The sequence below is a fragment of the Homo sapiens genome, chromosome 16 (genome assembly GCF_000001405.40).
Source record: "Homo sapiens chromosome 16, GRCh38.p14 Primary Assembly".
In the NCBI taxonomy this organism is placed as follows: Eukaryota; Metazoa; Chordata; class Mammalia; order Primates; family Hominidae; genus Homo; species Homo sapiens.
In genome coordinates this window covers 3064948-3084169 of record NC_000016.10, presented here as the reverse complement: position 1 = coordinate 3084169, position 19222 = coordinate 3064948, and the positions used below count along the sequence as shown (strand labels likewise).

The following is a 19222-nucleotide window of genomic DNA, read 5'->3' as shown; positions in this document are numbered from 1 at the left end:
GACCATGTGGTAGAAAGAAAAATTTTTTCTGGGGAGAAATTCAAGCTAGGCCCAGGGCCTTGCTGCTCTGTGCAGCCTTGGGACATCGCCCTGTGCCCCAGCCACTCCAGCTCCAGCTGTGGCTAAAGAAGGCCAAGGTACAGCTCAGGCCGTCGCTTCAGGAGGTGCAAGTCCCAAGCCTTGGCAGCTTCCACGTGGTGTTGGGCCTGCAGGTCTGCAGAAGACAAGAGCTGGGCTTTGGGGGCCTCCGCCTAGATTTCAGTGGACCTATGAAATGCCTGGACGACCACGCAGAGGTCAGCGTCAGGGGCAGGGCTGTCATGGAGAACGGCTACTAGGACAATGCAGAGGGGAAATGTGAGGTTGGAGCCTCCACACAGGCTCTCTACTGGGGCACTGCCTAGTGGAGCTGTGAGAAGAAGACCACTCTCCTCCAGACCCCAGAATGGTAGATCCACCAAGAGTTTGTACGCTGTGCCTGGAAAAGCCGCAGGCACTCAGCACCAGCCCATGAAAGCAGCTGCGGGGGCTGCACCCTGCAGAGCCACAGGGGCAGAGCTGCCCGAGGCCCTGGGAACCCACCCCTTGCATCAGCGAGCCCTGGACGTGAGACATGGAGCCAAAGGGATCGCTTGGGAGCTTTCAGATTTAACGACTGCCCTGGTGGATTTGGGTCTTGCCTGAGGCCTGTAGCCCCCTTTTTTGGCCAATTTCTCCATTTTGGAAAGGGAACATTTACCCAATGCCTGTGCCCCCAATGTGTCTTGGAAGTAACTAACTTGAATTTACAGGCTTATAGGCAGAAGAGACTTGCCTTGTCTCAGGTGAGACTTTGGATTGGCCTTTTGGGTTGATGTTGGAATGAGTTTAGACTTTGGGGGACTGTTGGGAAGGCATGATTGAGTTTTGAAATGTGAGAAGGACATGAGGTTTGGGAGGGTCCAGGGGCAGAATGAGGTGGTTTTCTCTGTGTCCTCACCCAAATCATCTCAAACTGTAATCCCCACATGTCGAGGGAGGGGCCCGGTTGGAGGTGACTGGATCATGGGGGCAGTTTCCCCCATGCGCTTCTGGTGTGAGTGAGTTCTCACAAGATCTGATGGTTTAAAAGTGTTTGGCAGCTGGGTGTGGTGGCTCATGCCTGTAATCCCAGCACTTTGGGAGGCCGAGGTGGGCGGATCACCTGAGGTCAGGAGTTTAAGACCAGCCTGGCCAACATGGTGAAACCCCATCTGTACTAAAAACACAAAATTAGCCTGGCATGGTGGTGCATGCCTGTAATCTCAGCTACTCAGCAGGCTGAGGCAGGAGAATCGCTTGAACCAGGGAGGCAGAAGTTGCAGTGAGCCGAGATCACCCCATTACACTCCAGCCTGGGCGACAAAAGCACAACTCCATCTCAAAAAAAAAAAAAAAAAAGATGTATAGCAGTTCCCCCAACCTTGCTTCTCCTGCTGCCATGTAGGACGTGCGTTGTTTCTCTTTAGCCTTCCCCCATGATTGCAAGTTTCCTCAGGCCTCCCCAGCCATGTGGAACTTTGAGTCAATTAAATTTCTTTTGTTTATAAATTACCCAGTCTCAGGCATTCTTTGTTTTTTTTTTTTTTTTTTTTTTTTTTGATGGAGTCTTGCTGTCTCCCAGGCTGGAGTGCAGTGGCACGATCTCGGCTCACTGCAAGCTCCGCCACCTGGGTTCACGCCATTCTCCTGCCTCAGCCTCTGGAGTAGCTGGGACTACAGGCTCCCGCCACCACGCCCGGCTAATTTTTTGTATTTTTAGTAGAGACAGGGCTTCACCTGTTAGCCAGGATGGTCTCGATCTCCTGACCTCGTAATCCTCCCGCCTTGGCCTCCCAAAGTGCTGGGATTACAAGCGTGAGCCACTGCGCCCAGCCCTCAGGCATTCTTTATAGCTGTGTGAAAATGGACTAATACAGCAACAGATCAGCCTTGTCCTGTGAAACCCACCTCCGTGATCATGGTATCTCCCCTGCCAGGGAAGTATAAGCAGGTTTTATTAAGATGCCAGGGCGACAGCGCCAGGTCAGAGCTGCGGCAGGAATGCCAGGCAGGGGGACTGAGTGTGCGGGAGAGGGCGGGGCACAGGACAGCTGAGGGAGGGGTCAGGGTGGGTGCGCGGTGACTGGGAGGGCAAAGGTGGTGTCAGTATCTTCATTTTGAGGATTGGGGTTCAGAGCACTTCTGGGGTGTCAGCTCCTCCTTGCCCCCCGTGTGGCTCCGTAGGACTGGAAAGAGGACATGAAGAGCTCTGACAAAGAGCAGCAGAAACTCTGGAACTGTTTCCAGAGGGCCTGCACTGCATGGACCAGGGCCACCACCTTCTCCTTCACCCAGGCCAGAACCCCGTGCCACCAGGTCTGCAGCCGCTGCAGCATGGCCTGGAACCATCTCATGACCTTGTCACAAAAGCTCTCCCCAGGCTCCTCGGTTGCGGGATCCTCAACATCCGGGACAGGGGATCTGTTGCCTCGGCACCGTAATCCATCTCTTTCTTTTTCAAGTAGAGGAGTGAGCTCCTGTGGAATGGGAGCACCATTCAGGGTCTGTAGGTGGGGGTGTCAGCCCCAGGCCCTGGCCACACCCCGGCCTCTCAGCCTTTTCCTGACCCTGGGAGACGGAGGCCCACAGGTGTTGGTTTCCTGGCTATAAACAAAGTCTCTGCAGCACTGTGACACATTCATGATGGCCATGACGCCCACACTGGAAGGTTGTGGGTTTACCGGAATGAGGGCAAGGAACACCTGGCCTACCCAGAATGGAAAACCGCTTAAAGGCGTTCTTAAACCACAAACAATAGCCTGAGCGATCTGTGCCTTAAGGACATGCTCCTGCTGCAGTTCACTAGCCAGAGCCACCCCTTTATTTCGACCCGTCCCTTCGCTTCACATAAGGGATACTTTTAATTAATGGAATATCTATAGAAACAATGCTAATGACTGACTTGCTGTTAATAAATACTTGGGTAAACCTCTGTTGGGGCTCTCAGCTCTGAAGGTTGTGAGACCCCTGATTTCCCACTTCACACCTCTGTACTTCTGTGTGTGTGTCTTTAATTCCTCTAGCGCCGCTGGGTTAGGGTCTCCCCGACCGAGGCTCGAATCCAGGTCGAAGGGTCGCCGGAGCGATGGTTGGAGAATGTGGAAGGAGCTGGAGGACACCCGAGTATTCTTAAAGCAATCCCCATGGTGAGTAAGAAGGGGAGCTCGGAAGCATCAGGGTAACAATGGGATTGGTTTGGGGTCTGGTTCCTTCCACCTTGGAACCTTTTCAAGCTAATGAGGAGGGAGGAGAGTATAACGAAGTAACAGAAGAGGTTACAGAGCAGGTTTGTTTGCCAGCTAAAGCTAAAGCGGCAAAGGAGGGAGACGTTCATCCCTACCCTTCTGCACCCCCTACTTATTATTTTGAAGAAAAAGGGCGGCCTGACCCTCCAGATCTTTCTTTTCCGGAGGATACTGGGCGAAAAGTAGTTGCTCCAGTGACTGAGCAGCACCTCGAGCGACCTCTCTTAGTTCTATTCAGGCAGGAATTCAGCAAGCTAGACGAGGGGGTGATTTAGAGGCTTGACAGTTCCCTGTTAGAATACACCCCCCAGATCAACAGGGAAATATTATAGCTACATTTGAGCCTTTCCCTTTTAAATTACTCAAAGAATTTAAACAAGATATTCATACTAAAAAAGAATGTAGAAAATATCAAAGAAAACTGCTGAGCCTGAAATATGTCCAAAATGTAAAAAAGGAAAACATTGGGCTAATCAGTGTCACTCTAAGTTTGATAAAGCTGGAAACCCAATTTCGGGAAATGCCATGAGGTGCCCGTCCCGGGCCCGGTTCTAAATCAGGGCATTTCCAGCTGAGGCCCTTCCCTCACCCCCGTACAATGTCTGTCCCCCGCCGCAGCCGGTAGTGCCGCAGTAGATTGATGCTGCACGAAAGCCGTGAGCTTTCTGCCAGGGGAACACCCGCGAAAGGTCTCAACAGGAGTCTGTGGACCCGTGCCAGCGGGGCAATAGGATTACTTTTAGGAAGGTCTAGTTTAAGTTTAAAAGGGGACAAATACATACAGGAGTCATTGATTCGGATCACGATGGGGAAATTCAAACTGTTATATCTACTTCTGTTCCCTGGAAAGCAGAGCCAGGAGAATGTGTATCACAGCTCCTGATTGTGCCGTATGTGGGAATGGGGAAAAGTGGAACTAAAGGAACAGGAGGATTTGGAAGCACAAATAAACAAGGCAAAGTGGCTTATTGGGTCAATCAAATTGCTGATAAACGTCCTACCTGTGAAATAACTATTCAGGGAAAGAAATGTAAAGGTTTGGTAGATACAGGAGCAGACATTTCAATCATTTCTCTACAGCACTGGCCATCCGCATGGCCAAGTCAACCCGCTCAATTTAACATAGTTGGAGTTGGTAAAGCCCCTGAAGTATATCAAAGTAGTTATATTTTGCATTGTGAGGGGCCCGATGGACAACCTGGGAATATTCAACCAATTATAACTTCTGTGCCTATAAATTTATGGAGAAGAGATTTATTACAACAATGGGGAGCACAAGTTCTAACTCCAGAACAATTATATAGCCCTCAAAGTCAACATATCATGCATGAAATGGGGCATGTCCCTGGTAGGTGACTAGAAAAAAAATTTGCAAGGTTTGAAAGAACCACTTCAATTGGAAAGACAAGTTCCCGCCAAGGCTTAGGATATCATTTTTGATGGTGGCCACTGTTAAGCCTCCAGAACCTACACCTTTAAAACGGTTAACAGAAAAGCCAATTTGGATAGAAAAATGGCCGCTAAGTAAATAGAAACTGGAGGCTTTAGAGAAATTAGTTACTGAACAATTAGAAAATGGGCACATAGCGCCAACATTTTCCCCTTGGAATTCTCCAGTTTTCATAATTTAAAAAAAAATCAGGTAAATAGAAAATGTTAACCGACTTAAGAGCCATTAATTCAGTTACACAACCTATGGGAGCATTACAGCCAGGATTGCCTTCTCCTGCTATAATTCCAAAAAGTTGGCCTTTAATAGTCATAGATTTAAAAGACTGTTTCTTTACTATCCCCTTAGCTAAGCAAGACTGTGAATGGTTTGCATTTACCATTCCTGCAGTCAACAACCTGCAGCCTGCTAAGTGTTTTCATTGTTTTACAGATGGGTTTAGTAATGGTAAAGCTTCTTATTCTGGCTCAAAAAGTAGTTTTCCAGATGCCTTATAAAAAGCAAAGTTTGTAGCTGTAATTGAGGTATTGACTGCTTTTGATAGCCTATTAATGTGATTTCTGATTCTTCATATGTGGTTCATTCCACACAGTTAATTAAAAATGCTCAGTTACTATTTCATACAGATAAACAACTGATGACAAAAACAAAAAAGGGGGAGAGATAGGGATTATGGGACAGTCCATACACAATTGAATCTAGCATTATTAACTTTAGATTTTTTGAACCTGCCCAAAGGCCAGATGTCATCAGCAGCTGAACAGCATTCCAGAAACCAGCTGCAAAGACAGAAGCAGAACAACTGGTTTGGTGGAGAGATCTGATAACAAAAAGTTGGGAAACAGGTAAAATAATAACTTGGGGTAGAAGTTATGCTTGTGTTTCTCCAGGCCAAAATCAACAGCTGATCTGGATACCATCAAGACACCTGAAATCTTATCATGAGCCAGATGCTGAGGAAGAGACTCCGGGAGGATCCCGAGGACGGCCCAGTTGCAGCCATGTTGAGACTGACGCTGAGGAGGACCCCAACTGTCACGAGCAACACCTGTCGAACACAGCCACCCACCTGGGGACAGATCAAGAAGCTGTCACAGATGGCAGAAGAAAACCTGAGGAAAGCGGGACAACCAGTCACAATGAGTAATTTCATGGTAGCTATGATAGCAGTTATCACCACTGCTGTGAGTATTCCTTCAACAAGGGCTGACACACAGAACAATTATACTTATTGGGCATATTTATCAACCTTGGCTGGCAATAATGCCTAGATGTAATCACTCTATGACACAGTTACACATGCTTTCTGATCTCAGTATTTACCATAATCTGCTCCTATAATTGAGGCATACCGCCCTTAAAAACCTATTTGTAAACAAAATTGAACCTGGCCAGAAAAAATGAACGTACTTGTTTAGGAAGATTGCATTGCAGAACAGGCAGAGGTGCTGCGCAACGATTCCTATGGAATCACTGTTAATTGGTCCCCTAAGGGGATGTTTAGCTTAAATTGCACCTCTCAGCCTGCGTGCCACGGCCACACTATGTGCAGCTGGTCTGAACAAAACGGTCAGATGGTAGAAACAATAAGAAGTATGGCAAAAGTTCCTATTATCTGGAACCATGCTGGTATAGTGGCACCTCAACCTCAAACGATAAGGCCCGCTGTAGGAGCTAAACATTAAGGATTTGTAGAAACTATTAATAGCTCTTAATAAGATCAAAATTGGGGAAAGAATAAAGCATCTAGAAGGACACTCTACAAGCTTTTTGGATACAGTAAAATTAAAAGAAAAAATATTTAAAGCATCCCAGGCACACCTGACCTTAATACCAGCAACTGGAGTGCTTAAAGGAACTGCAGACAGATTTGCAGCTAGTAACCCATTAAAATGGATAAAAATACTTGGAAGCTCTGTAATTTCAATGATGTGATTGTGCTTTTAATCTGTGTTGTTTGTCTTTGTATAGTCTGCAGATGTGGATCCTAACTCCTGCGAGAAGTAACTCACAGTGACAAAGCTGCCTTTGCTTTTATCGAGTTGCAAATCAAAGAAGGGGGGACATGTTGGGAACAGGCCCCCCAAGATCTGGCCATAAACTGGCCCCAAAACTGGCTATAAACAAAATCTGCAGCACTGTGACACGTTCATGATGGCCGTGACGCCCACGCTGGAAGGTTGTGGGTTTACCGGAATGAGGGCAAGGGACACCTGGCCCACCCAGGGCGGAAAACCGCTTAAAGGCGTTCTTAAACCACAAACAATAGCCTGAGTGATCTGTGCCTTAAAGACACACTCCTGCTGCAGATAACTAACCAGACCCACCACTTTACTTCGGCCCATCCCTTCATTTCCCATAAGGGATACTTTTAGTTAATCTATTATCTATAGAAACAATGCTAATGACTGACTTACTATTAATAAATATGTGGGTAAACCTCTGTTGGGGCTCTCAGCTCTGAAGGCTGTCAGACCCCTGATTTCCCACTTCGCACCTCTGAATTTCTGTGTGTGTGTCTTTAATTCCTCTAGCGCCCCTGGTTTAAGATCTCCCTGACCGAGCTGGTCTCAGCAAGCAGAGGGTGCCCCTGCACCAGGAAAGGGGGGCACAGGAAGGCCCTGCAAGTGCAGCTGCAGCCAACAGGAACAGCAGGACACCTTCCAGAGGTGACCCCAGCCGCCTCTGCCCAGCACCCCCCTGCCCCAATCCTCCACGATCCCTTTCTCCAGTCACCCACTCAGCATGGCTGTGCTGGACACTGGGCCACAGGGCTGAAGCGACCCAGAGAACACATAGAGGAAGGGGCCACCTTACACACAGATGGGGACCCTCCTCTGGGAAGGGAGCACTTTTTGCACAGAAGTTTGAGGGGAAGGAGCTGGGTGTGGTGGCTCACTCCTGTAATCCTAGCACTTTGGGAGGCTCAGGTAGGAGTTTCACTTGAGCCCAGGAGCTCAAGACCAGCCTGGGCAACATAAGGAGAACCCCCTTCTCTACAAAAAAATTAAAAAATAGCCAGGAATGGTGGTGCACGCCTGTGGTCCCAGCTACTCAGGTTCCAAGCTGAGGCAGGGAGGCAGGAGGCTTGCTTGAGCTGGGGAGGTCGAGGCTGCAGTGACGCATGACCATGTCACTGAACTCCAGCCTGGACAACAGAACAAGGCCCCGTCTCAAAAAAAGAAAGAAAAGAAAAAGAAACTTGAACTTGAGGGGGCAGTGGGGCAGGGGCAGGAGCCTATAAGGTGCGTGCCATTCTCTGCTGGCAGCCCCAGCCCTGGCAGCGTACCCTCCTCCCAGCTCCAGTCTATGGTCAGCAACCCCCGCCCATCTCCCCCATCTGCTGGGGATGTAGGTCCATGTCCTTGACCCAAGACCTTCCCTCATTCCTGCCCCCATCCCTCCTCAAGCCATATCCCTTACATCCCTTGAGTCCTCCATCCCCCCTCCCCCATCTCCCTGTCCACAGCCTCTGCCCCTCCTCTCCCTACCCTGTACCACCCCCACCCCAGGTCTTCCTCCATCTCCTTGGGAACACAGAGCTCCTCTAGCAGGCACTCTCAGAACACAGCCTGCCGGCCCCAGCGCCAGGCCTGGCTCCCAGCCTGTTCCCACCACAGCAGCCTCTTCCCTCCGGATTCAGCTCAGGCGCCAGGACCGGCAGGACCGAGACGCTTCCCATGTCAGCCCTGGCCAAAGCCCAGCTCCTTATCCATCGGTGAGCTGCCTGCCAGCTCCTGCTCCAGCTGCTGAGAGGCCTGAAGAGACCAAGACAGAGACATAGCCCTGCAGCACCACAGGGAGGCCCCAATTACCCCATGCGGATGAGTTTCATGGCCATCTCTAACTAAGGTCAGCACTGCTCAGGGCAGGTTCATAGGTAACGACCTGGTGAACTGAAAAGCAAATTTCTCTCGGTCCCTAAAACCACTAGCTGAGCATCTAAGCATGAAACATGAGTCCTAAGAGGGGTAGCAAACACGTTTTCATTCACTTCTCACCAAACCTGTCCCCTATGTCCATTTTACAGAGGAGGAAACTGAGGCACAGAGACTTCAAGGTAGATGGCCAGGTACCCTGGCTCTGCCAGCCTGCCGTTCAGCAGGGGCTTCAATGGTCTTGCTCAAATCACATGTGCGCTGATGAATGTCCTTGTTGACTGTAGGTTCTCTTGTTGCTCTGAGTCCTTTTTCTGAGAAACTGAAGTTTGGTGTTTTGATCACGGCCATATCATTCATCTCTCACCTTCTATCCTGCCTTGCATGTCTTTAACCACACTGAGCTTCCGGGCCCTGCACCCCTTCCTGCACCCTTGTCACACCATGCATCTGGGGGAAGTTACACAACCACAGCTGTGCAGACCCAGCCTCACGAGATTCTCAGAGGGCAGTCCACAGGGGCCCCAGCACCTCCTATCATCCTTGCCCCAGGCTTTGGCAGGCAGCTCCTGCACACTCCCCTCAGCCCCATGCCAGGCCCACAGCCCCTCAAGCTTTCATCCAGCCCCGGCCCCCAACTTTCTTTTCTGTCTCTTTTTTTTTTTTTTTTTGAGACGGTGTCTTCCTCTGTCACCCAGGCTGGAGTGCAATGGCGTGATCTCAGCTCACTGCAACCTCTGCCTCCCAGGTTCAAGTGATTCTCCTGCCTCAGCCTCCTGAGTATCTGGGATTACAGGCGCCCCACCAACACACCCAGCTAATTTTTGCATTTTTAGTAGGGACGGGATTTCACCATGTTGGCCAGGCTGGTCTCGAACTCCTGACCTCAGGTGACCCCCCCGCCTCAGCCTCCCAAAATGCTGGGATTACAGGTGTGAGCCACCGCGCCCGGCCCTCAGCCCTAACTTTCAAATGACAATTGTGTTTCCTGTTTCATCAGGACAGGACATCGATGTCATCTGTAACTTCCAGTGCACTGGGACACACAGCTGTATCTCCCCATGCTCGCCTCCTGCCCCTCCCGGTGTGAGGACTTAGCCTGGATCACCTCCTCCAGGACAAGAACGACCTACCGGCATCTATCCATCCAATCTCCCCACCCATCCATCACTGCCTCTGTGCATGCATCCTTCCAACCATTCATACACGCCTCTGTGCATGCATCTGTCTGTCTGTCCCTGCCTCTGTGCCTGCATCTGTCCATCCATCCCTGCCTCTGTGCCAGTATCTGTCCATCTATCCCTGCCTCTGTGTATGCATCTGTCTGTCCATCCATCCCTGCCTCTGTGCCTGCATCTGTCCCTCCGTCCATCCCTGCCTCTGTGCATGCATCCTTCTGTACATCCCTGCCTCTGTGCATTCATCTGTCTGTCCATCCCTGCCTCTGTGCATGCATCTATCCATCCATTCATCCTTGCCTCTGCCCATGCATCCGTCCATACATCCCTGCCTCTGTGCATGCATCTGTCCATCCATCCATCCCTGCCCCTGTGCATCCATCTATCCATTCATCCCTGCCTCTGTGTAGGCACCTGTCCATCCATCCCTACCTGTTTGCACTCATCTGTCTCTCCATTCCTGCCTCTGTGCATGCATCTGTCCATCCATCCATCCCTGCCTCTGTGCATGCATCTGTCCATCTATCCATCCCTCTCTCTGTGCATGCCTCTGTCCATCTATCCATCCCTGCCTCTGTGCATGCATCTGTCATGCTATCCAACCCTGCCTCTGTGCATGCATCTGTCAGTCTATCCATCCTCCATCCCTTTCTTTGTATCAGCTTATCCTGTGCTGAGTGCTCACAACTCCTTCATCCTAAGACGCTCATTGGACCTATTCCCTCCCCCGACTCCACGCCGCTCTCTGCCCTCCCTTCCTGGTCAAGTTCTCCAGCCAGTGGTCTCAACTCAATCTTCTCTTCCTCCGCTCCTCTCATGCCTAAGCCCACTGCCGCCTAAATTCTTCCCCAACCCACTGGGCCTACCGGCACTAAAAAGGTCACTTTGTCCCTGGATGACCAAACACAGGCCAATGTAACTTACTGGGCTTGTTTTGCCCCAGCCACAGCTGACCACTTCCTCCTTCACTCTTGTTGTTGATCACCTTTGGGCTTAGTCTTTCTCCATCTCTGTTGAGTCCTTCTCCCCTGCCACCTACTCCTTCATGCTGGGGTTCTCTGTAGCTCTGTACCTGACAGTCACGTTCCACCCTTTCCTCCCAGAAGCTCGCCAACCCCCGTGGACTGCTGGCTCTCAAGGCGGCCACTAGCCCAGCTCCGACAGCAGCTGACAATGCACAGTATGCGGCCCAGGGCAGGCCCTGTGCTGAGAGGCATGGGTGAATGGCTCATTTCATCGGCAAGCCCCCGCCACCAGCAGGCGCCGTTCTCCTCGCATTTCTCAGGGGAGGAACCTGAGACAATGAGGTTAAGGAAGTTGTTCATTACAAGTGGAAGAACCCTGACTTACTTGAATTCAACTTTGAAGCCCACATTCTCTTTTTCTGTGTGTGTGACAGGGTCTCACTTTGTCACCCAGGCCGCAGTGCAGTGGTGTGAACACAGCTCATTGCAGTCTCAACCTCCCTGACTCAAGCAATCCTCCTGCCTTAGCCTCCTGAGTAGCTGGGACTACAAGCATGTGCCACCACGCCCATCCGAAGCCCATATGTGAATGTTGAGGCACACAGCCTCCCCAGCCTCTGCCTTACCAAGCCCTCCACAGGGCCTAGGCACCCTCCCTGGCTGCCCCCTTCCCCCGTCACTCAGGCTCCCCAGCAGCCAATGTAGTTAATATGGGGCTGCAAAGAGCTGGGCCTGGCCTCAGGCGGGACGGCCTCCCCGGCATTGCCATCCCTGCTGCAGAGCTCCCATGCGATCAGCCTCCTCTCCAGCTGAGACCACATCCTCACTCAGCTTCTAGGCTGTTCCTGCTCCCCATTCCCCTCAGCACATGGCCCCTGAGAAACTGCTTGCACAAGAATTTCCCTCTGGAGCCCCACCTCTGGGGAACCTGACCTCAGACAGAGGAGACCAAGCTCTAGGGCAGGATCCTCCACCTCCCTTGCCCCACCCGTGTGGCCAGCCCAGAGCGCTGCAGACTCCCGCCCAGACCTGTACTCATGCCTGCCTTCTGCCAGCCTGCTCCTCCTCCTCCCACTCTCACACCTGCATTAACAGCACCAGGACACCATCCTCCAAGGGCCCCAGCCTCATCTCCCCTGTCACCAGGATCCAGCCAGATCTCAATCCTTGCCCATCCTAACTGAACCTCCCTCAGATCCGTCCACTGCCCCCTTCCCCAGGACCACACTCCACCATCTCTTGCCTGGACCCTGCGAGAACTTCCTGCCTCCCTGCCTCTATCCTACCCCCTGCCCCCTGCTGAAGCTGATGATAGTTCCGGAATGCAAAATGCCTTAATGATTCCCCCATTGATCAAAGTCTTCCACATGCTTTCAAGGCCCTTGGTGATCCGGGACCTGCCGCCTTCTGCAGTCTCCCTACTGATGCCATAGTTTTGGCTTCTGGCCTCAGATGTCCCGGGTTATTTCTCTGCTCAGTGTCTCCTCGTACCCCTGACTCAGCTGGCTCACTGCTTTCCCATTGGATCTCAACCCTGTGTACCTGGGGAGAGCAGAACCCTGTATGTCTTGTCTTGTGCTAGTAGGCGCTCAGCGTGTTTGTGCATGCATCTGTCCATCCATCCCTGCCTCTGTGCACGCATCTGTCCATCCATCCATAGCAGTGACCTATGATTGCACCACTGCACTGCAGCCTCAGCAACATAGCAAGAACCTGTCCCTTGTTTTTTTTGTTTGTTTGTTTGAGATGGAGTCTTGGTCCTTCACCAGGCTGGAGTACAGTGGCGCAATCTTGGCCCACTGTAACCTTGGACTCCCTGGTTCAAGTGGTTCTCCTGCCTCAACCTCCCAAGTAGCTGGGATTACAGGCGTGTGCCACCATGCCTAGCTAATTTTTGCATTTTTAGTCCAGATAGTGTTTCACCATGTTGGCCGGGATGGTCTCGACATCCTGACTTCGTGATCTGCCGGCCTCGGCCTCCCAAAGTGCTGGGATTACAGACATGAGCCACTGCACTCCGCCAGCAGTAGAAATTTCTAAGCACCAAAGCATTCAGCAAGTCACCTGTCTTTTCTTGAAAGCATACGGTTACATGCACTCACAAAGAGATGCTTTGGAATTAGAACTTATACTTAAAAGGGAAGCAGAGCATAAAAGATGGAAAATTTGCAGCCTGACCATGTGGTAGAAAAGAAAACCCATTTCCTGGGGATTAATTCAAGCTAGGCCTAGGGCCCCGCTGCTCTGTGCAGCCTCGGGACATGGCACCCTGTGCCCCAGCCACTCCAGCTCCAGCTGTGGCTAAAGAAGACCAAGGTACAGCTCAGGCCGTCGCTCCAGAAGGTGCAAGTCCCAAGCCTTGGCAGCTTCCACATGGTGTTGGGCCTGCAGGTCTGCAGAAGACAAGAGCTGGGCTTTGGGGGCCTCCGCCTAGATTTCAGGGGATGGATGGAAATGCCTGGATGACCACGCACAGGTTGTCATGGAGAACGGCTACTGGGGCAATGCAGAGAGGAAATGTGGGGTTGGAGCCCCCACACAGACTCTCTACTGGGGCACTGCCTAGTGGAGCTGTGAGAAGACCACTCTCCTCCAGACCCCAGAATGGTAGATCCACCAAGCGCTTGCTCTGTGTGCCTGGAAAAGCCGCAGGCACTCAGCACCAGCCCATGAAAGCAGCTGCGGGGGCTGCACCCTGCAGAGCCACAGGGGCGGAGCTGCCCCAGGCCCTGGGAACCCACCCCTTGCATCAGTGAGCCCTGGACATGAGACATGGAGCCAAAGAGATCGCTTGGGAGCTTTAAGATTTAATGACTGCCCTGGTGGATTTGGGTCTTGCCTGAGGCCTGTAGCCCCCTTTTTTGGCCAATTTCTCCAATTTGGAAAGGGAACATTTACCCAATGCCTGTACCCACAATGTGTCTTGGAAGTAACTAACTTGCTTTTGAATTTACAGGCTTATAGGCAGAAGAGACTTGCCTTGTCTCAGGTGAGACTTTGGATTGGCCTTTTGGGTTGATGTTGGAATGAGTTTAGACTTTGGGGGACTGTTGGGAAGGCATGATTGAGTTTTGAAATGTGAGAAGGACATGAGGTTTGGGAGGGTCCAGGGGCAGAATGAGATGATTTTCTCTGTGTCCTTACCCCAATCATCTCAAACTGTAATCCCCACATGTCGAGGGAGGGGCCGGGCTGGAGATGATTGCATCATGGGGGCGGTTTCCCCCATGCGCTTCTGGTGTAAGTGAGTGAGTTCTCACAAGATCTGGTGGGTTAAAAGTGTTTGGCAGCCGGGTGTGGTGGCTCATGCCTGTAATCCCAGCACTTTGGGAGGCCGAGGTGGGCGGATCACCTGAGGTCAGGAGTTCAAGACCAGCCTGGCCAACATGGTGAAGCCGCATCTGTACTAAAAATACAAAATTAGCCTGGTATGGTGGCGCATGCCTGTAACCCCAGCTACTCAGCAGGCTGAGGCAGGAGAATCACTTGAACCAGAGAGACAGAGGTTGCAGTGAGCCGAGATCACCCCATTGCACTCCAGCCTGGGCGACAAGAGCGAAACTCCATCTCAAATAAAAAAAACACACAAACACGCGGACAAAAGTGTTTGGTAGTTCCCCCCACCCTGCTTCTCCTGCTGCCATGTAGGACGTGCCTTGCTTCTCTTCCGCCTTCCCCCATGATTGTAAGCTTCCTCAGGCTTCCCCAGCCATGTGGAACTGTGAGTCAGTTAAACTTCTTTTCTTTATACATCACCCAGTCTCAGGCATTCTTTATAGCTGTGTGAAAACGGACTAATACGGCAACAGATCAGCCTTGCCCTGGGAAACCCACCTCCGCGATCATGGTATCTCCCCTGCCAGGGAAGTATAAGCAGGTTTTATTAAGATGCCAGGGCGACAGCACCAGGTCAGAGCTGCGGCAGGAACGCCAGGCAGGGGGACTGAGTGTGCGGGAGAGGGCGGGGCACAGGACAGCTGAGGGAGGGGTCAGGGTGGGTGCGCGGTGACGGGGAGGGCAAAGGTGGTGTCAGTATCTTCATTTTGAGGATTGGGGTTCAGAGCACTTCTGGGGTGTCAGCTCCTCCTTGTCCCCCCGTGGGGCTCCGTAGGACTGGAAAGAGGACATGAAGAGCTCTGACAGAGAGCAGCAGAAACTCTGGAACTGTTTCCAGAGGGCCTGCACTGCATGGACCAGGGCCACCACCTTCTCCTTCACCCAGGCCAGAACCCCGTGCCACCAGGTCTGCAGCCGCTGCAGCATGGCCTGGAACCATCTCATGACCTTGTCACAAAAGCTCTCCCCAGGCTCCTCGGTTGCGGGATCCTCAACATCCGGGACAGGGGATCTGTTGCCTCGGCACCGTAATCCATCTCTTTCTTTTTCAAGTAGAGGAGTGAGCTCCTGTGGAATGGGAGCACCATTCAGGGTCTGTAGGTGGGGGTGTCAGCCCCAGGCCCTGGCCACACCCAGGCCTCTCAGCCTTTTCCTGACCCTGGGAGACGGAGGCCCACAGGTGTTGGTTTCCCAACCACAGCCCCGTGGGCAAGAGGGACTTTTCCCAGAGTCCCCCTCCTCTGCATTCACCTCCATGGCAGTGACAGGATGGGTGTGTCTGCTTGGTCACCAGGTCAGGGCCCTCATCGTGCCTTGAGGGCTGTGCCACTGTGTGAGGAGTGAGGCCATGGGCAGGTCCCAGCTAGGCTGTCACTCCCAGCCCTCCACCCCAAGCTCAGGGGCTGGGCACACCCTGCCCACACCACATCAAGACAGGGCAGGGGTTGGCTGGGCCCGGTGGCTCATGCCTGTAATCTCAGCACTTTGGGAGGCCAAGGCAGACGGAACACAAGGTTAGGAGTTCAAGACCAGCCTGGCAAACATGGTGAAACCTGGTCTCTACTAAAAACACACACAAAAAAAATCAGCCTGGAGTGGTGGCGGGTGCCTGTAGTCCCAACTACTTGTCAGGCTGAGGCAGGAGAATCACTTAAACCCGAGATTTGGAGGTTGCAGTGAGCCAAGATCATGCCACTGCACTCCAGCCTGGGCGACAGAGCGAGACTCTGTCTCAAATAAACAAAAAGAAAGAAAGAAAGAAAAGACAGGGCAGAGGTGAAGGAAGGCAAGGTGCCCAGATGGGTGTGTCATACTCACTGGGTGCTGCTCCTCATAATAAGCCGCCACTGTCTCCAGGTAGCCCTCTTTGAAGTCGTCCTGGGGAGAGGAGGGCACAGGGGGTTCATGCTGCTCCTGCCTGCCCCCTTCCCACTGTGGCCCCCACTGGTCCAGGTGATTCCCAAGGGGACCCGGGGCCCAGACCCAGTGTCCTGTGGAGCCTAAGACCCAGGGACTAAGCTTGGTGGAGGGGGAGGCCACGGCTCACCTCCAGCTCTGCCAGGCTCGACATCACCTGTTAGGAACAAAGCACTCGGTTCCAGGCCCAAGCCTCCTCTGCACCCCACATCAGTCAGTCCTCAAGCCCAGTGAGTCCTCAGCTCCCACACACCCCGAACTGGGCCCAGCCAGGGGCCCGGGCCACGTCTGGCACCCCTGTTGTTTCCTCAAGGAGCCCTGGGGCTTGGATGCCTCCCTCAGTCTCCCCGGGCGTCCAGATCCCCCACCCGCCCACTCACTGCCACCCAGGTGCAAGCATTTGCCCACGGTAAGGGGTGAGGGAGCCTGTGGGTCCCTCTTCATCCTTCTCACCCTGAGCCCCACACAGGGTGGAGTGCCTGGGGGCGGGGACATGTGACCTGGTGCCTGAGGGGAAATCCACCCACCTGTCCACGTCCTGATTCTGCATTTTGCATTTTATCATAAAATCTTTCTATGGCCTGGTGCTGTGAAGAGAGGCAGAGTTGGCACCAAAGGGCCGGATCCTTGTCCCTCCAGGGTCCCAGGTGTCCCACAGTGTCCTCAGTGTCACACGCTGAGACCCAGGCCCCCAACCCCTGAGCAGAAGTAGGGAGGAGCATTACCATTCGGGCCTTCAGCTTCTTCATGTCATCAGAGAGGACCTGCGGAAATAACGGTGACACTCAGTCTCCATGTGTCACCTTAACCTTTCCTCCAGGATAATTTATACACACACACACACACACACACACACACACACACACACAGAGACACATGGCAGAGGTACAGGATAAGAGGAGACAGCAGTCCCAGGAGCCCCTCACAGCCTGGAAAGACCGGCCAGGGCTGTCCTCGAAACGACTCAGAAAGCGCTTCTCTCAGGAGCCGGCTCAGCTGGGCAGGCCCAAGAGCAGGGCCAGCATGGGCCTAGGTGACCCCTCCTCACAAGAGCAGGGCCTGCGTGGGCCTAGGTGACCCCTCCTCACAAGAGCAGGGCCTGCGTGGGCCTAGGTGACCCCTCCTCACAAGAGCAGGGCCTGCGTGGGCCTAGGTGACCCCTCCTCACAAGAGCAGGGCCTGCGTGGGCCTAGGTGACCCCTCCTCACAAGAGCAGGGCCTGCGTGGGCCGGGGTGTCCTCCCTGCACACACACACCCCCCCATGTACACACACGGGAGGATGGACACTGTCCTGGAGCAGGCTGGCTCAGCTGGGTTTCCCACAACCACTATGGTCCCAGGTGAGAGTTGGCCAAGGAAAAAATGTTTAGGGACATGACAATTGAGAAGGTAACAGCAGCCATTCCTCTCTGATGAGCTGATTAATATTTGGGGTGCCAGGTAGGTCCACCCTACAACCTGCCACTCTTCCCGACTGCCAACATGCAGACCCACAGGTCCCGGGCCATTCCTGCCTGCAGACACGTGGCTGCATCCACAGAGGCCAGAGGCACCCCACAGAATCCCCGCTGAGCCCCCACGTCAAGGGCCTAGTCTCGGGGGTGACATGCCTGGTTTCCCCCACTATAGAGTGGTGACAGTCACCCACAGAGTGCGCAGGGCCTGGGGACATATTCTGGGCAGGGCAGCTGTCTGCACACTTTCAGGCAGCGATGGTCCCATCCCGCTAGCCTGATTTCCCAGGAACCAGGGTGAAAGCAGCACCGTGCCGACATGCGGGAGCCATGTGTCCTCCGGGTCACTGTCCTGAACCTGAGCCAGGCCACATCATGGAAACCCCTATTGTCACAGGCCGAAGAGCTCCCTGGAGGGTGTGGTGGGCCTAGCATTTGCGGTGGGGCAGTGGTAGAGGATGGGAGGTCGGAGGGAACCCAGGAAAGGAGGAAGAGACACCAGGACCCACACAGGCCTTGCTCTTGGGCCCACCCAGCTGAGCCGGCCTCTGAGAGAAGCATTCTCCGAGTCGTTTCCAGCAGAGCCCTGCCCCACCCCTGCCCCGGGCTTTCCGGGCTGTGAAGGGCTCCTGGGACAGGTGCTCCCTCTCATCCACACCCCTGCCGTTCTCCAGCGCCCCCGACACATATGACCTCCAGCGCCTCCACTGACACTCTCACCCCATCACTATCCTCCTGCCGCTGGGTGCCCCTGACTGAGCCCTGACACACAGGCACCTCGGGAAATACTGAGGGCACCCGCACCCTTACGGTCTGTTTTCAGACATGCCCACAAAAGCACACGCAGCCTCTCACTCACCTTCGGGAAGCACATGGCGGCCAAAAGTTCAAGGAGCCAAGGCCTGCTGGCGAGGAACAGGTGTGAGGAAAAGAAAGTGTCTCAGAGAAGCACCCTCCTCCCCAGAGGGTCCTCACCTTCGGGGACCCCAACTCCCCACCTGAGATGACCCAGCTCCACTGAGACAGTCACCTTCTGCACGCAGTCTTCCTGGCACAAATACTCAGCTGGTTTTATGGGGAAAGTGGGGGGTAGTGGGCGGAGCCTCTCTCAGGGCAGGAGGCCTTGCTGAGTGCGTGAAAAACAGACAGAGACAGAGACAGAGACAGAGACAGACAGAGATGGAGACTTACCCGAGAGAGACAGAGGTCTGGGGTCCCTGGGAGGAATGAGGGTCCGTCCCTGGCTGGGCCCCTGCTCCCTCTGAGCTGGGGTGGGAGTCTCTGAGCCCAGGAATGGGCTGCTTTCCCCACCCCACCAGCCTGAGAGTGGGGAGGGGCAGAGGGAAAGTCCAGACTCGGGACAGCTGGCTGGGGAAACTCCCTGAGTACAGGAAGGTGACGTCAGCCAAGTGGGATCCAAGGACAAAGGAATTTGGACCCTGTCCTTGCATGAGGTGTGCCCCGGCTCCAGAGGCCAGAGAAACTTCTGGATCAGAAGGAGGCAGGAACTGCCGGACCTAAGAGGGGCGCCGTGAGGGCAGGGGCCTGTGCACGTTGGAGGGGTGGCTAGTGGTGATGTAGATCTACCTGTGGGACAAGATAGGACCCTCTGCAGGGTGGAAGGCATCCTGCCGGCTGTCTGAGCTTGGCTGACCAGGTCCTTCTGACCCTTCTGGGCCAAGGCAAGGCCATCTGGGGCCGAAGGTCACTGGTCTCAGCAATCTTGGGGCTCCCCTAC

The 19222-nt window shown here is 53.4% G+C and overlaps 1 protein-coding gene and 2 pseudogenes across 19 annotated transcripts, besides 8 other annotated features; 1 reads left to right on the top strand and 2 right to left on the bottom strand.

Moving 5' to 3' along the window:
• Nucleotides 6922-7081: a silencer, noted in NCBI's record as "silent region_7112". NCBI's record gives its function as "represses an Ori minimal core promoter by ATAC-STARR-seq in GM12878 lymphoblastoid cells {active_cell/tissue: GM12878}" and the evidence as "EXISTENCE:reporter gene assay evidence [ECO:0000049][PMID:35858748]".
• Nucleotides 7442-7491: an enhancer, noted in NCBI's record as "active region_10299". NCBI's record gives its function as "activates an Ori minimal core promoter by ATAC-STARR-seq in GM12878 lymphoblastoid cells {active_cell/tissue: GM12878}" and the evidence as "EXISTENCE:reporter gene assay evidence [ECO:0000049][PMID:35858748]".
• Nucleotides 8839-8888: an enhancer, noted in NCBI's record as "active region_10298". NCBI's record gives its function as "activates an Ori minimal core promoter by ATAC-STARR-seq in GM12878 lymphoblastoid cells {active_cell/tissue: GM12878}" and the evidence as "EXISTENCE:reporter gene assay evidence [ECO:0000049][PMID:35858748]".
• Nucleotides 9009-9098: an enhancer, noted in NCBI's record as "active region_10297". NCBI's record gives its function as "activates an Ori minimal core promoter by ATAC-STARR-seq in GM12878 lymphoblastoid cells {active_cell/tissue: GM12878}" and the evidence as "EXISTENCE:reporter gene assay evidence [ECO:0000049][PMID:35858748]".
• Nucleotides 9169-9288: an enhancer, noted in NCBI's record as "active region_10296". NCBI's record gives its function as "activates an Ori minimal core promoter by ATAC-STARR-seq in GM12878 lymphoblastoid cells {active_cell/tissue: GM12878}" and the evidence as "EXISTENCE:reporter gene assay evidence [ECO:0000049][PMID:35858748]".
• Nucleotides 9469-9652: a silencer, noted in NCBI's record as "fragment chr16:3124519-3124702 (GRCh37/hg19 assembly coordinates)". NCBI's record gives its function as "represses an EF-1alpha promoter that drives an FKBP-Casp9 reporter gene in an ReSE screen in K562 erythroleukemia cells {active_cell/tissue: K562}" and the evidence as "EXISTENCE:reporter gene assay evidence [ECO:0000049][PMID:32094911]".
• LOC107984896 (uncharacterized) lies at nucleotides 9574-10952 on the top strand (annotated as a pseudogene).
• On the bottom strand, nucleotides 14519-14647 carry RNU1-125P (RNA, U1 small nuclear 125, pseudogene; annotated as a pseudogene).
• IL32 (interleukin 32) lies at nucleotides 14640-18767 on the bottom strand. Of its 19 annotated transcripts, none has more exons than NM_001012631.4 (8): nucleotides 18676-18767; nucleotides 18483-18549; nucleotides 18344-18386; nucleotides 16755-16793; nucleotides 16557-16616; nucleotides 16160-16186; nucleotides 15931-15990; nucleotides 14640-15180 (listed from the first exon to the last, which is right to left on the bottom strand). In NM_001012631.4, exons 3-8 carry the CDS (start codon nucleotides 18356-18358, stop codon nucleotides 14815-14817), a joined length of 567 nt encoding a protein of 188 aa, NP_001012649.1. In that variant the 5' UTR covers nucleotides 18359-18386; nucleotides 18483-18549; nucleotides 18676-18767; the 3' UTR covers nucleotides 14640-14814. The 19 variants fall into 19 exon arrangements, with proteins under 19 accessions (NP_001012649.1, NP_001356518.1, NP_001012651.1 ...); NM_001369589.3 differs by having other exon boundaries at nucleotides 18483-18528; NM_001012633.4 differs by lacking the exon at nucleotides 18483-18549 and having other exon boundaries at nucleotides 14640-14889; nucleotides 15061-15180.
• Nucleotides 15869-16388: an enhancer, noted in NCBI's record as "H3K4me1 hESC enhancer chr16:3117783-3118302 (GRCh37/hg19 assembly coordinates)". NCBI's record gives its function as "activates a minimal SCP1, AML or CMV promoter by ChIP-STARR-seq in primed H9 embryonic stem cells {active_cell/tissue: H9 hESC(primed)}" and the evidence as "EXISTENCE:reporter gene assay evidence [ECO:0000049][PMID:30033119]".
• Nucleotides 18727-19036: an enhancer, noted in NCBI's record as "active region_10295". NCBI's record gives its function as "activates an Ori minimal core promoter by ATAC-STARR-seq in GM12878 lymphoblastoid cells {active_cell/tissue: GM12878}" and the evidence as "EXISTENCE:reporter gene assay evidence [ECO:0000049][PMID:35858748]".

Bases quoted from the DNA above. Each gene is read 5' to 3' on its own strand.
- IL32 (NM_001369587.3), bottom strand. The intron at 16,187-16,556 runs GTGGGTGGATTT...TGTTCCTAACAG, and splicing joins CAGAATCAGGACGTGGACAG to GTGATGTCGAGCCTGGCAGA. The intron at 15,991-16,159 runs GTGAGCCGTGGC...TCCTCTCCCCAG, and splicing joins CGAGCCTGGCAGAGCTGGAG to GACGACTTCAAAGAGGGCTA.